Source organism: Homo sapiens, chromosome 2 (genome assembly GCF_000001405.40).
Source record: "Homo sapiens chromosome 2, GRCh38.p14 Primary Assembly".
Classification (NCBI taxonomy): Eukaryota; Metazoa; Chordata; class Mammalia; order Primates; family Hominidae; genus Homo; species Homo sapiens.
The window spans coordinates 164,927,402-164,943,741 of record NC_000002.12 but is presented as its reverse complement, the minus strand read 5'-3'; the positions used below and the strand labels follow the sequence as shown (position 1 = coordinate 164,943,741).

General features: G+C 34.3%; 1 protein-coding gene across 6 annotated transcripts in view; it reads left to right on the top strand.

The window, feature by feature from the left end:
• Positions 1–16,340, top strand: part of SLC38A11 (solute carrier family 38 member 11) — a 61,172-nt gene that overhangs the window by 11,784 nt on the left and 33,048 nt on the right. For 5 of the 6 annotated variants that reach the window (NM_001351539.2, NM_173512.3, NM_001199148.2 and 2 more), the window contains 2 exons: positions 4,186–4,292; positions 6,313–6,392. In NM_001351539.2, coding sequence (NP_001338468.1) covers positions 4,186–4,292; positions 6,313–6,392 — 187 coding nt within the window. Of the gene's footprint in view, positions 1–4,185; positions 4,293–6,035; positions 6,218–6,312; positions 6,393–16,340 lie in introns of all 6 variants that reach the window. The other variant, NM_001351540.2, reaches the window with a different exon arrangement.

The following is a 16,340-nucleotide window of genomic DNA, read 5'->3' as shown; positions in this document are numbered from 1 at the left end:
CCAGAGACTGAAGCAGAAGGATTGCTTGAGCCCAGGAGTGTGAGCCACATAGAGAGATTCTGTCTCTAAAAATAATAAAAATAATGCAAAACAATTCCATCACTCCCTCCAGTTTTCCCCATTTCCCTTTGTAGTCAAATCCTAATCTCCAGCTCCCTCTTCCAACCTCCTGATGAGATTTCTCTCCCTACAGTTTTGCTTTTTTCAGAATGCCAGGTAAATGACATCATACCATATGTAGCTTTTTTGAGTCTGGCTTCTTTTGTTTAGAAAGGTGCATTTGAGATTCAGCTGTGTCTTTCAATATATCAGTAGTTTGCTCTTTTTAACAAATTATTTCTGAGAAGCATTTCATTTTATGGATGTACAATAGTGTATCTATCACCCAGTTCAGGGACATTTGTGTCGTTTCCAGTTTAGGGTAATTACAAAAAGCCAGTGTGAACATTCTCTAGCAGACCTTTTCAACATATTGCTACAACTCCACTCCCTGTTCAACTTTTCACTATGTCATGGTTTTTATAATAATTCAGAGATCATGTGTCTTTTTGCTTTGAAGAGCTTCTCATCCAAGCTACATAATCCCCATTTCATTGTGAAACTCTCTATGGTTGCTATTACAGTTGAGGAGATGGATGCAAAAACACCTTTCCTCTTAGTGCTTGAATCACTCATTCTAGAGACATACAAAACAAAATGAAACAAAACCTAGAGCTAGAAAGCATACCTAGTCCTCACACAGGGTTTAGTGGAACTTGAGATCACGGAGACATAGCTATCAAATCACAGACTCACGAATGACCAGCTGTGTGACCTTGAGAAGGTTAGTTGTCCTCTCCGAGTTCCAGTTTCCTCACCTCTAAATTATGAATCAGAATATCATCTGCTTCATAGAATAGTTGTGTGAAGCAAAAGAGGTGAGACAGGTAGTTCCTAGCACACAGTAGACTTACCCAGTACTATTAGCTATTATTATTGTTACCCCGAACTGTCTGTAGCTTCTGTGCCAGCCCCCAAACTCCAAAGCATGAATGCATAAGCTGAGGCCACACGAGTGGGTAGAATGCTAAGGAAAGTGGTCAGAATATAAGACACAGAATATAATCTAAATTATGTAAATTTTCTATTGGCATATACAAGTAAGAAAAAATAAGAAAGAAATACATTTACATATAAACTGCGGTTATCTTTTAATCATGAGATTCATGGGATTTTTGTGGGGGGTTTTCTTTGTTATTTTTCAAGGTTTTTCTTAAGGGTTTTTCTTTCCTTCTCTCTTTTCTCTCTGTTTTTGTTTTTTTTTTTTTTTGAGACAGAGTCTCACTCTGTCACCCAGGCTAGAGTGCAGTGGCATAATTGGCTCACTGCATTCCTGACCTCCCGGGCTCAGGTGATCCTCCCACCTCAGCCTCCCAAGTAGCTCGGATTGCAGGTGCACACCACCACGCCCGGTTTTGTAGAGATGGGGTTTTGCTATGTTGTCCAGGCTTGTCTCGAACTCCTGAGCTCAAACGATCTGCCCACCTCAGCCTCCCAAAGTGTTGGGATTATAGACATGAGCCATCTCACCTGGCCTCCAAGGTTTTTCAAAAGAGAATTACTAATTTAAAAATATATTTTATTACTGTATTTTCCTATTCGAAAAGTAGCGCCGATTTATTTGAAAAATATTAGAAAACACAGACAAGCCCAGTGGAGAAAACAGAAAATACTAATAATCTCTTCTTGAGACAATCGGGTGGAAACCATCCTTTCAGCCCCCTCCTGTTTTTCCTCTTCCTTCCTTCCTTTTTCCTTTTTATGCTTTCAGAGTTTTAAGAATACATGTAATTTCAGATATTCGTAAGAATAATATAACATCATACAACTTGTTCTATAACATGCTTCTTTCTCTTAGTAATATTTTAAGAACATATTCTCATATCAAAACGTAAATATATATATATGCTTTAATGGAAGTTCAGTATTCTGTACAGTACCTACTGTACAGTTAGAGTGACCATAATTAATTTACCTTTCCTTGATAGAAACATTTTGATTGTTAATTTTTATTAATTTTTAATTATACAAAGAATGTATGAATAACGCTCTTCATAAAAATAAAATATTATAGAAAAGGCTAATGGTCCTTTGAAGCCCTCTTCCTGGTTATCAATTTTGTAATAATCAAAAATGACTTTTTAAAAATGTAGTTCATATGGCAAAGAACACAACTTTATTCTTACAGCATCTTCACCATTTTGGGGTGTGACAGTTTATAATGTTCATTCTGTTTGTATATCTTGTGAGGCACCATATTATGCCAGAGTATTTTTAGAAGTGGATACTATAAAATTCTTACCAAAGCTCTATTTTTATTCTGAAATACATCACTAATGTCTTAAATTGACAAGTAGACAATTGCTTATACTTTTCTCTGGTAGCCAAAACCTTGGCTCTTGATATAAGTCAAAGTAACAAGAAATGTTGGTATAAAAAATAGCATGTTCACATGCTTTTAAATTTTTTCAAAAATTTTATTTTCAAAAATTTCAATTTTCACCTTTCGTTACTGTTGTTTAAACATTTAAAATGCATACTTGGGTGCATTTTTGATAGATCCATATAGGTAATAGATCTCATCATTAGAGCATTAGTGAAAAACATCCTTTATGCAAATGGGATCCTCAGTTATTAGGCTCCTACCTGTTGATCATAGCACTCTGTGTCAGCGTTTATCTAGCCCTTAGCAACTTCCCAGTGAAGCAAAACGTTTAAAGGGTAAATAGAAATAGATACACAAATAATTTGGTTCAAATTATATTCACCACAAATATGTAAATAGTGAGTGCATGGATTTTGGAATTGATTTTCCTGTTTTGTTATTTTAATTCTTAATTTTATAATGACTATTTAGTTATGGCTGATTTCAACTATTCCATTAGTATTAAAAATTAAATATTCCATTCCACATATATAATATATATACACACACATACACATATATATATACATCATATACATATATATACACTACATATATAGAAAATACTAATAATCTAATAATCATATATATAATACATATATGTGGTAAAAATTTATGTCATTTTGAAATTTCTTTCTTGAAACTTTCTTGTAGGTTTATTAGCCATCTAAGAAAAGTAGTGTCATTGTTTAGGATAATAGCTTTTATTTTCTTACCACAATCATTCACTTATTTAAGACTGGATCTTTATAGACTTTAGACTGTGCAGAAATTGATGCACAATGACTTGGTACCACTGAAGACATCGTAACAATATAATGATATGATCTCTGAGTGAAATTTAATATGAGCTAAAAATTTAAACAATAGCGTCTTCATTGAAATAGATATATAGCTCCTTAAATGACTATTTTAATTAGCAGAGCTTTTAAAATATATAAATCCTTGTATGTTTCATTTCATGTTTAAAACTTCTGTTTATGTGTGATTATACACACAACACATATAATTATATATGTGATATATATATATATATATATATATATATAAAATTTTCTATTTGTATTTGACCATATAGCCAAGAATCTGCAGTGTCTACCAGTTGCAGCAGCTTCCCTGTGACTTCTTCTCTATCCAATATGTTGCTTCTGCCATTCAGGGAAACCAGTTTTTTCTTGACAAAAGTAGAGAAATATATTAAATATTTTTATCTAAATCTTTTTGAAATTTTGTTAGAGTATTAGTGTCCAAGTCTCTTGCGTATAGAAAAAAAAAAAAAAAAACCTTAGAAAATGCATCATCCTCCTATAGCTTACTTTCTACCTGAAGGGTTTTGTCATTAAAGAGTTTTGGGCAGGGAGTGACATAATGTTTTTTACCTTAGAAAAGGAATTCTGTAGTTTCTGGATTAAGAGTGTACTCTAAGAAGACAAAAGAAGGCAGAAGCATGAAAACTGTCAAGGAGGCTAGTAAAATAATTTCAATGTGAAATATTATAACATCATTTCAAGTATAAGTCATCCTGAAATTTTTTTGTGTTTGTATTTTTGTGATTTATTTTTATGTTTATATGTTTTTATGGAGAGTATTAACTCAAAATTATTGTCATTGAGGTAGTATTTATGTTTAAGTAATTTTTATAATTAAATGCTGGCCTATTTAGTGTGTCACCAATGTGTTACTTATACCTGTAACATTTAATAATATTTATTGTGTTTTAGTTGATCCTGAAAACGTGTTTATTGGTCGCCACTTCATTATTGGACTTTCCACAGTTACCTTTACTCTGCCTTTATCCTTGTACCGAAATATAGCAAAGCTTGGAAAGGTAATTTTTACATTTTAAATGGGCATAGAAATGTACCTTGTTGCCTGCATAATCTACTGTCTACTTGGCAAAGTTCTTAATTACGGTATTCATCTTTAGTTTCTTCTGGTTTACTTAATGGTGATGCTAGAGTGAACTGTGTTTGAATCATTAGTTTGTGAGAACCGATGATTAAATAGTTGATGAGTATTAACTAAATATATTCTTCCTTTTTCTTTTTTAAGGTAGATACACTGATGTCAGACAGCACATTTTAAATTTAGAAAATATAAAGAACTATATTTAAAGCAAATCTAATTTATTGGAAAAGTATTCCATCTTTTGTGTAGGTGGTTTAAACAATTTAAAATTAAGAAGTAACAATGAATAACTTTAATGTCTTAAAATATATTTATTTGTAAATTACAATGTCTATTGTGCTTATTTTTCATCCAGTGAATTTAATTTGCAATGTGTTGATTGGTCAATTTTTGAGAATTTTGCCAATATTTATGATTCATATTACTAAAGAGAAATACTGAACTCTTCTAATGAAAACAATTAAATAATTATTCAGTTCACTACAGATGCTCATTTGCACTTACTCTCAAGGAATATTTGTATTTTACCCAAAATATTATTGGTACTACGTCTACGTAATGCCAAACATTCTGATAAGATATTTTTAAAAAGAGTTGTTTATATAATATTTTTACATTCTATTTTGAAAAATCCAACGTTTGGCTGAATTTTACTTTTCACTGTGATGTTTAATGTTGTGTATCTATTTATGAAGTTCATCCTTCCAGGTAGAGCTGAGGGTAGACATAATATTTCAAAGTATTCTGACCATCCCTAATAGTCATCTGGAAACAAACAAGAGTGTATCAAAACATGCTTTTCTGTGAATTATATAAAATGATTGAACTATTTTCCATTTCACATATTCAGTGTACACATAAATGTTATCTTCTGAGCAGAGAGTGAGGCATTCATAAAAGGAAGGCTATTAACATTCTGTCATATTATTAATACCTGAGCATTTTTTCCTAAATGCCCCTTAAAAGTGTCATATTGAGATATCTAAATAAATCACTCCATGAGCAAAGCAGAGTGGTTAGGAGCCCTAATCTGGAGTCAGGCTGCTTGTACTTGAGTTCCCTCTCTGCCACATTCCAGCTGTGTGCCTTAGAGAGGTTGTTTAATCTCTCTCTTCCTCAGAAGATAAGCCAATTCATAATAGAAACTTCTTTCTAGTTAAAAATTAACAACTTAGAAAACAAGGTTAATGAGACTCACATAAAATACAAGCAGTTTTATATTTATTTTTTCTTATCAGAGAAAGGATCCATAATGTGCTTTTTCATTTAAAAAAATTAAGACTAGGCACACAAACCTAGCATAATGGGTGCACCGGGCACAGACACACACAGACCAGTTTATATTTTAACCAGTTGATATAATGACAGAACAGAGAGGAAGAAGCAAAACAGGCCTAGGAACGCAGACCAAAGGGCAAAACCAGGTAGGAAAAGTAGAGCTGGAGAGCAGAGAGGAAAAAGCTGAGATACCCCTCCTCAAAAAAAAAAGGACGGGGAGGAATGTGTGTGGTGTTGGAAGGAAGAGAGTAAGACAAGTAGAAGCAGCAATTATAGATAGTAAAAAAGCACATGTCAACACTAAAATAAGACTTGAAGAAAAAAGGAAACATAATTTCACTTTTACTTTTATAAGCTAAAATCACCAGTTTTGTATTCCATGCAGGAGCCACTAAAAATTTTTAAAGCCATGTTGCATGGTGATGACAGTCATGTATAATACTTGCTCACCTACTTGGGGTGGGTGCGGGGAACCAAGACTGATCTGATAAGAAGTTACCTGCCTGAGATTATCAACACCAAGCTGCAAGAATAACCTACTAAAGAATTAGGCAAAAAAATCTATATGTAAGTTTACCCAATTAAAAATGAGAAAGACTTAACATTTTAAATAAAATAATTTCTGTCCTAAACCGGCAATATCCTTGTATTTTCTTTTACAGGTCTCCCTCATCTCTACAGGTTTAACAACTCTGATTCTTGGAATTGTAATGGCAAGGGCAATTTCACTGGGTCCACACATGTAAGTTATGTTGTTATATTTGTCAGTCTTTGATTTATAGCCTCCACATAGATATTTAGATGGCATAAATGCAGAAATATAAAGTAACCATGGTATCAGAAACATCATTTATCTTTGGTATTTGACAAAATGAGGTAAAATAATTACAGGTCAGTAAACATGCATTTTTCATTTGGACCCTACAAGGCTGATAGAATTAAACCAGGTTTACTTATTATTTTAATGTCCCAAAGAATTAGAGTAAGAAAGAATTAGAATTAGAATAAGAAATGAATTTTGAATAGTTGAAAAGAGGAACGAAGTTTCAGTAGTTTAGACTGAAATAAAAAGAATAAGAGATATAGTGGATGTTTTTATCCATTAAACAAAATGTGAACACTTTGAAAACCATCCTTTATTCTCTTCTGATTATTTTCCTTAATTATTTTGTGTTAAAATACTACATCATTTGTGAACTAAGGATAAAAACTGATAGTGGTGTTTGTTTCTTTTTAATGTTATTATTTGGTGAGGTAAAATGTTGACAAATTGGTATTAGTTCCCCCAATTTTAAAAATGTTACTCATTCATGAAATTTTAAAGTGTGTGTATTGTCAATCTAAACTACACTGTTTGTATGCTTTGCCTATATAGTAGATTCCCCAGATACAGACTGGGCAGTTTATAGTCACAGTCCCAAGAAAATGCTAGAATGAAACCAGGTTAGATTGGCTTTAAACACTGAATTGGATTTCCACAATTCACAATAAATATTAGTTGAATAAATAAATAATGCATTAAAGAGTTTCCAGGATACCTTAAATGTTTTCTCTAAAGAGGCAAAGAAAAATTAATTTAAGATGTAATATTTAGCACAATGCAAGGAATACTGGGTTTTTAATGAATGGCATCTGTAAGAAAAAATGTAAAAGGAAACCTAATGAATAGCCCTAATTGTTAATGCAGTGGCCAAGGTAATTTATGTTTTCTCCTTGATTAATTGTTGCTTTGCAAAATTAATTCATTTTCCACTGATAGACTTCTTAGTTTATCAGGAAAATACCAAAAAAAAGGCCTCAAGCTAATTGGGGGAAAATCATGAAATATCTGTTAAATATCCAGTCTAAGTGCATTTGATATAGCCTTTTCTTTGAAAAAGCAAACGCCTATTTTTAAAGAATTGAAATAAAGGAGAGAAAACATAAATATCTGTAATATTTATATTATTTTTTTCTTCAAATAATTTAATCCTGATTCACAGTTGTATTGGTCATCTCAGAATGTCATAACAAAAAAACATAAACCGAGTATTGTTAAATGACAGAAAGGTATTTTCTCATAGTTCTGGAGGCTGGAAGTCAGAGATCTGGATGCCAGCATGATAGGGTTCTGGTGAGGGCCATCCTCCTGCCTTGTTGAGGGCAGTCTTCCTGCTGTGTCCTCACATGGCAGAGAGAGACAGCAAGATCTCAGAAGTCTCTTCTTATAAGGGCTCCAGTCCCAGAGTGAGGGCTCCACCCTTCCCTCATGCGTTTATCTAACCCTAATTATCTCTCAAAGTCTCCCAAAGGCCTCAACTCCAAATGCCAGCACAGTGAGAGTTAAGGCTTCAACATATAAATTCGGAGGGACGCAATTCAATTCATAGCATTAGTGTTTTTTTGTTTTGTTTTTACTTTTTTTTTTAAGAGACAGGGTCTCATTCTGTCACCCAGACTGGAGTGCAATGGTGCAATCATAGCTCACTGCAGGTTGAACTCCTGGGCTCAAGCAGTCCTCCTGCCTCATCCTCCTGTGTAGCTGGGACTGCAGGCATGTGCCACATCCGGCTAATTTTTTCTTTCTTTCTTTTTTTTTTTTTTTTGTAGAGATGGAGTCTCACTATGTTGCCCAGGCCAGCCTCAAACTCCTGACCTCAAACAATCCTCCTGCCTCAGACCCCAAAGTGCTGGGATTAACAGGTGTAAACCACCATGCCTGGCCTACATTAGTGGTTTTGAAATGCACCTGTTTCACTTCAATATGGCCATTTATTCATTCACTTTAGTAAACACTTAATGAGTTTCTATTGTTTCCAGTGATTGTGTTGTGCCCTGAGAGAAAAAGCAGAGAGAGGCCTGAATTAGCACCTGCTGCCAATTATTCACAATCAACAATGGACAAAGGGCTTACTTTAAAACCAAAAAAAAAAAAGAAGAAAAATCAATGACAGTACAAGGTGATAAGTGCAAAGCAGAAACATGAAAGGGAAGCCGAGACAGTGCCAAAGTAACGGGTGCTTAATGATCTATCCCCATCAGGGAAGGTTTCCTGGAGGAAGAAAAATATGCTTTGTGTGTTTTAAAAGAAGAATTGCAATTTTTCCAGATACATAGAGGGTATGAGTCTGTATGTATTACAGACTCAGGGAAAAGTATGTATAAAAGCACAAAAACGTATACTTAATTCTACTGATATTTATACTGATTCTACTGATATTTATTTAGTGTCTGTTATGTTGGTACTGTATTCAGCTCTGGTTTTTGAAGCTGAATTCACAGTAACAGAAAGCTAATAAGTATATTAAACAGAATACCATAAATGATAATTTGGGCTAAAAATTTTAATTGTGTAAGACCAAACTGTTTTAATTGATAATTTTTATTATAAAAAGTGTTTACAGGGAAAAAAATCACTGGGTTGTAATAAAAGTTCTTATAGGTTTGCTAAATATAGTATTATGAGGCAATATTGAGGGGGAAACATAGCTAAAGTAGGAAGTAAATTAATCCTCAGTTGCACCACGGGAGAACAGTGTAAAGCAATGATTCTCAACACTTGTTTCACATGAGAATCATCTGAGTAACTTTAGAAAATACTGATGCCAGAGCCCCACCTGTAGAGATTCTGAAGGAATTGATCTAGGGGCCAGGCAATTGGATTCATTATTTCGCCATTGGAGATTCTATGAACAAAGATTCTAAAGCCTCTTGGTTTAAAGAGATTAAAATAATGAGTACATATTTTTAACTGACACATTGTTTCTAAAATTAAACCAGAGATTTTGTGTTATTTTAGTTACTGTTTTGTGATCATTTTTCATGATGCATTCTCCGCTTGTTTCTTTCAGTATTTTTTATGTACAAAGTGTCATGTGAAATACTGTCATGAATACATAGAGAAATAAAATATCTCTGCTTTTAAGGGGCTCGCAGTTTAGTGAAGAAGACAAAGCTATACAAATGACTATCATATAAGCAGTGTGCCTTGATATAGAGAAAAAAGGAAGGGCAGTCCACTTCCTGGTGGGGCTCAATGAAATGATTTTTATGGCCAAATAGCTATTTAGTTCTGTTGTCAACAAAATGTGGCCTACATCTGTCTGACCTTCCTCTAGTAGTGATACAATATTTTATCTGAGCCTTTGAAATGTAATAGCAAGGATTATTTACTTAACTCTTTCAATATTTAGATGTTAAAGAAGTATGTTTTTTAATACTGTGCCACCTTTTATGTCTGTTTGAATACTACTGCAAACAACTTCTGTTCATCCTGATTTACAATCAGGCTAATCAAATCCCAAGTTCAGGAGTTGGCATGGTAGCTAGTCAGGCAGGCTTCTTTCTGAAAATATGACAGCGATGAATGCTTGTAATCCATAAAACATGAGAAATTCAATACTCCATGTGTGGTTTTCTTCATTTTCGGTTCAGATGAATGATCAGAAAACCTGTGGTTTTTTCATAGGTCTTTTAAAGTGGTGTTTGAAAAAGATCTTTAAACCCACTATCAGAAAAGGGGAAGGTCTATAATGGCTACTGGTATTGACCTTGTTACTATGGAAACATCATTTTAGTGGTTATGTTTTAAAAATAAAATACAATTCAATTTCCTTTTCCATAACTTATAGGGCCATAAATTCTACTTTTTGATACGATTTCAGATATCTCACAGTCCAATGACTTTCAGGTTTTTTGGAAATTATGTTCAGATTTATGGTATTTTCTAACCTTTTGCTTTCTAAAAACTGAGGTGGCAAGGAAATTTAATTGCTTTTCAGAAAGTGTGCTAGTATAAAAATACAATAACAGTTCTCCCAATTTTTTTCTAACTAGAATCAGAGGCATTATCACTGTTAAAAAAAAACCCTTCATTTAATGCCTTATTAATATTCAATTCTTTACATTCAGAATGGAAATTATAACATGCAGTCCAAATTTACAACTATTTTCCCCTCATATGACATCTTTCTTACAGCATTTTAATCGTGTGGTATTCTAAACAAAATTCCAAAAAGTGAGTCCATACTTTAAATTTTAATCTCAATGCACATTAGTTTCCTTAACCCTTATACATTCAAACCCTGAATTCTGCAGTTTTATGCTACACATAAAGAAGAACTAGAGGGGGTTAAGAAAAGGATTTTTAAAAATGGGTAAAGACAGAGGAAGGCTACATATTTAAGGAAAGAAATGATTCATTCTGACGAATATTAGCCACTGAATTTTTAAGTTCAGGGGTACATGTGCAGGTTTGTTATATAGGTAAACTTGTATCATGGGAGTTTGTTGTACCGATTATTTCGTCACCTAAGTATGAAGCCTAGTACCCATTAGTTATCTTTCCTGATCTTCTTCTTTCTCCCAACTTCCACCCTCTGATAGGTCCCAGTGTGTGTTGTTCCCCTCTCTGTGTCCATGTGTTGTGATCTTTTAGCTCCCGCTTATAAATGAGAATATGTGTTCTTTACTTTTCTTTTCCTGCATTAGTTTGCTAAGGATAATGCCCTCTCCAGCTCAATCCACGTTCCTGCAGAGGACATGATCTTTTTATGGCTGCATAGTATTCCATGGTGTACATGTACCACATTTTCTTTATCCAGTCTGCCATTAATGGACATTTAGGTTGATTCCATGTCTTTGCTATTGTGACCATTTACATGTTTTTATGATAAAACCATCTATATTCCTTTGGTATATACTCAGTAATGGGATTGCTGGGTCAAATGGTAGCTCTGTTTTTCAGATCTTTGAGGAATCACCACACTGTCTTCCACAATGGTTGAACTTATTTACACTCCCACCAATGGTGTATAAGTGTTACTTTTTCTCTGCAATCTTGCCAGCAGCTGTCATTTTTTTACTTTTTAAATAATAGCCATTGTGACTAGTGTGAGATGATATGTCATTGTGGTTTTGATTCACATTTCTTTAATGATCATTGATGCTGAGCTTTTTTTCATATGAATGTTGGTCACAATTACGTCTTTTGAAGAGTGTTCATGTCCTTTGCCTACTTTTTAATGGTTTATTTTTTTCTTGTAAATTTAAGTTCCTTATAAGATGCTATATATTAGACCTTTGTCAGATGCATAGTTTGCAGAAATTTACTCCTATTCTGTAGGTTGTCTGTTCACTTTGTTGATTGTTTCTTTTGCTGTGCAGATGCTCTTCAGGTCGAGTAGATCCTATTTGTCAATTTTTGCTTTTGTTGCAATTGCCTTTGGCATTTTCGTCATGAAATATTTGCCCGTTCCTATGTCCACAATGGTATTGCCTAGGTTGTCTTCCAGGCATTTTATAGTTTTGAGTTTTACATTTAAGTCTTTAATCCATCTTGAGTTAATTTTTGTGTATGGTGTAAGGAAGGGGTCCAGTTTCAATCTTCTGCGTTTGGCTAGCTAGTTATCCCAGGATCATTTATTGAATAAGGAGTGCTTTCACCATTGCTTGTTTTTGTCAGATTTGTCAAAGATCAGATAGTTGTAGCTGTGCAGCCCTAATTCTAGGCTTTTTATTCTGTTCCATTGATCTATGTGTTTGTTTTTGTATCAGAACCATGCTGTTTTGCTTACTGTAGCCCTTTAGTGTAGTTTGAAGTTGGGTAGCGTGATGCCTCTGGTTTTGTTCTTTTTGCCTAGGATTGCCTTGGCTATTCAGGCTTTTTTTTGGTCCCATGTGAATTTTAAAATAGTTGTTTCTAGTTCTGTGAAGAATGTCATTGGTAGTTCAATAGGAATGACATTGAATCTGTAAATTGCTTTGGGCAGTGTGGCCATTTTAACAATATTGATTCTTCCTATCCATAAGTGTGGAATTTTTTTTTTCCATTTGTTTGTGTCATCTCTGATTTTTTTTTTTTTTTTTTTTTGTGGGGGATCAGTATTTTGTTGCTCTCATTGTAGAGATCTTTCACCTCCCTGCTTAGCTGTATTCCTAGGTACTTTTTGTGTGTGGCAATTGTGAATGGATTGCCTTCCTGATTTGGCACTCTGCTTGACTGTTGTTGGTTTATAGGAGTGCTAGTGATTTTTATACATTGATTTTGTATCCTGAAGCTTTGCTGAAGTTGTTTATCAGCTTATCTTTTTTGGCTGAGACTATGGGGTTTTCTAGATATAGGATCATGTCATTTGCAAATAGGGATAGTTTGACTTCCTCTCTACTTATTTGCATGCCCTTTATTTCTTTCTCTTGCCTGATTGCTCTGGCCAGGACTTCCAGTACCATGTTGAATATGAGTGGTGAGCCAGGGCATCCTTGTCTTATGCTGGTTTTCAAGTGGAATGCTTTCAGCCTTTGCCCATTTAGTATGATGTTGGCTGTGGTTTAGTCACAGATGGCTTTTATTATTTTGAGGTATGTGCCTTCAATTCCTAGTTTATTCAGAGTTTTTAACGTGAAGCGGTGTTGAATTTTATCAAAAGCCTTTTTGGCATTTATTGAGATAATCATATCGTTTTTGTCTTTAGTTCTTTTTATGCAATGAATCACATTTACTGATTTGCATATATTGAACCAACCTTGCATCCCAGGGATAAAGCCTACTTGATTGTGGTGGATAAGCATTTTGATGTGCTACTGGATTTGGTTTGTCATTATTTTGTTGAGTATTTTTGCATTGATGTTCACCAAAGATATTGGCCTGAAGTTTTTTTTTTGTTGATGTTGTTTCTCTGCCAGATTTTGGTATCAGGATGATGTTGGCCTCTTAGAATGAGTTAGGGAGGAGCCCCTCCTCCTCAATTTTTTGGAACAGCTTCAGCAGGAATGTACCAGCTCTTCTTTGTACATCTGGTGGAATTCAGCCGTGAATCGTTCTCGTCCTGGGCTTATTTTGGTTGGTAGGCTATTTATTATTGATTCCATTTCAGAGCTCATTATTGGTCTCTTCAGGGATTCAGTTTCTTCTTGGTTCAGTCTTGGGAGGGTGTATGTATCCAGGAATTTATCCATTTCTTCTAGAGTTTCTAGTTTATGTGCATGGAGGTGTTCATAATATTCTCTAATTTTTATTTGTATTTCTGTGGGGTCAGTGGTAATATTCCCCTTGTCGTTTTTAATTATATTTATTTGGATCTTCTTGCTTTTCATCTTTATTAGTCTAGCTGGCTATCTATTTTTGAATTTTAAAAAAAAACAGCGCCTGGATTCATTGATCTTTTGAATGTTTTTTGTGTTTCAAATCCTTCAGCTCTGATTTTGGTTATTTCTTGTCTTCTGCTAGCTTTTGGGTTTTCTCTTGGTTCTTTAGTTCTTTTACTTGTAATGTTTGGTTGTTAAATTGAGATCCTTCTAACTTTTTGATGAGGAGCCACTGAATTTTTTGATGATGTATAAATTATCATCCTTTATGTTGCAAATGTAAAGAAGCACAGAACCTTAACTGGTTGAAGCAAAAGAGAATTTACTTCCCTTAACTGTAAGTTCAAGGTTAGTCCTATTATTAGGTATGCTTGGATTTAAGAGCTCAATTAATGAAATCAGACATCGTCTCTCTTTTACCATCTGTCTGTGCTTCCTGTTTGGCTGTAGTTTCTGAAAGCTTTTCTCCCTGAAAGATGGTAGCAGCAATCTCAACCTACATCAATTCAAGTTCAAGTCCATAGAAAGAGAAAGAATTTTCTCTTTTAAGGTACCTCCAACTTCACTCACAGAATTAGTTCTGATTGGCTATAACAAAGATGTATGATGATTACAGACCCTATCATCATGGCCTATATTGAGTTGTTTGCCTTTAGGTTACATGCCCACACCTGGATCTAGGGATAGGATGAACCCAACTAAAGCACTTGAAATAAAAATGGGGAAAAGGGTATCCCAAAGGACAGTGATGCCAACAGAAGGCGGAGTAGCCATTGCAGGGTGCAAACTACATATGTCCACTTCAGTGATGGGAATTTCAATCAAATGGTATGGGTGGAAGCCAGGTTAGAGAAAATTAAGATGTAAGTGAGTGATAGGAAAGTGAATTTGGAATATCCTTCTTCCTATTTTGCCCTCCTCTGCCCTTCTCTTATTCTTTTATGAAGAACATCTATGAATGAAAGTAACATGGCAAAACAGTGGCTTGAGAGAGTAAGAGCTCTAAAAAAATACCATCTTTATCATGGGATATATTGAACATGTGACATAGACTAAGTCAAAACTTAGAACCCAAAGTCCTCCATGAGATGATGAAAGGCTAGACTTTAGGATACAGTTAGGGTGATCTTGGAGAGGAGCTAAGATACTTTGTCCTTTTGAAACAATAGGATAAGAATATAAGGAGTAAATTGTGAACACATTCTAAAGATCAGTGAAGGGAATTTGAGTATTCATGCCTGATAACCTATATTTTTTCAAAGATGAGATGATTATCTGAGAGTGCGGTAAATAGGAGTAGGTTCAGAACATGAATATTCTGGTTGGTTAAATTTCCTATTGGTCTCACCATAGGAAGTGAGAAGGGATCTACACATAGAAATAAAATAATAATGTATTTGTTAAATTATCTTTAGTTATCTTCTGTGTGTTTTCTTCTATGTATATTTTCTGTCTCTCACTATATTGTAAGCACTGTGAGAAGAGAGATTACATTTGCTTTGTTCACACTATATACCCATTACTCAGCAAAGTGTCTAACAAAGAATTAGAATTCAGCAAAGAATTGCTGAATCATCAACTGGATGCATGAATGAATCTATGTGCCTTCTGGTTTTAGCCCATTCAACTTGGGGATTAACTGACCAAAATTTTGAAGTAATGAGACAATAAAACATTGTCTTGAGACAAATAAAAATTTCATACAAACACTGTCAAAGAAAATTTGCCTAAGGCTACTTTCATGCTGGTAAAATTTGCTAACTAATTTGCTAAAATACCAATTGACTCCAGGCTCTGCAACACTCACTGTTAGAGCTAGTGGTATGTTTTACCAGGAAGATTGCCTACATGAAAGAATGCATAGAACTATTGCTTTATCTGAGTCTACATAAAAATAGGAAAGATATTTGCAAGATAATATATGCTCAGGGAGGATTAGTCCAGTCCCTGTGTTAGTGGAGCTAGAGGAACAGCCTAGGCTCCTCAATATTAAGTACTTATTTCACCCACCATTAGTTATTTTATAAATGGAATCCATCCACAAATGGATGAACCTGTTCTTTGAACCAATAACATTTTATTAAATGTCTAACTGATGCCAGTCACTCTTCCAGGTACTGGGACTATAAGATGAAGAAAGCACAGTCCTTGACCTCAGATCCTTATAGTTTGTGGAACAAACTTATGAAAGACAGTCTCAATATAATAAGTAATAGAATTATGAGTAAGTGCTATGGAAACAGAGGAAGGGTCCTTAGCCTAACCTGTGCAGGCAGGTAATATTTCAGGATAAGAAAATACATGGCTTTTTGTTTTAAAAAATAAACAAGCATAAGTTGAGTCAAAAAGGGACATGGGGGACGGGAAGTTGGTAGGGACAGGTTGGAAGATACTGTTGGCAGAAATGTGTGTGATGCAGAGATGAGATACATATAACAGCAGATGAAGTTTGAAGTTCTAACATTAGGAAGAACTTGGAGAAGAGGGATACTTTGCCATTCGCTGGGGGAGCTACCATATAAAAATAAAGGCCCTCCTTTGATAATTTTCTCCAAAACCATTTTTTTACATTGCTTCTCAAATGCATTTTATCATAGTTTTACCAAGTGTCATATCTCCATATTAT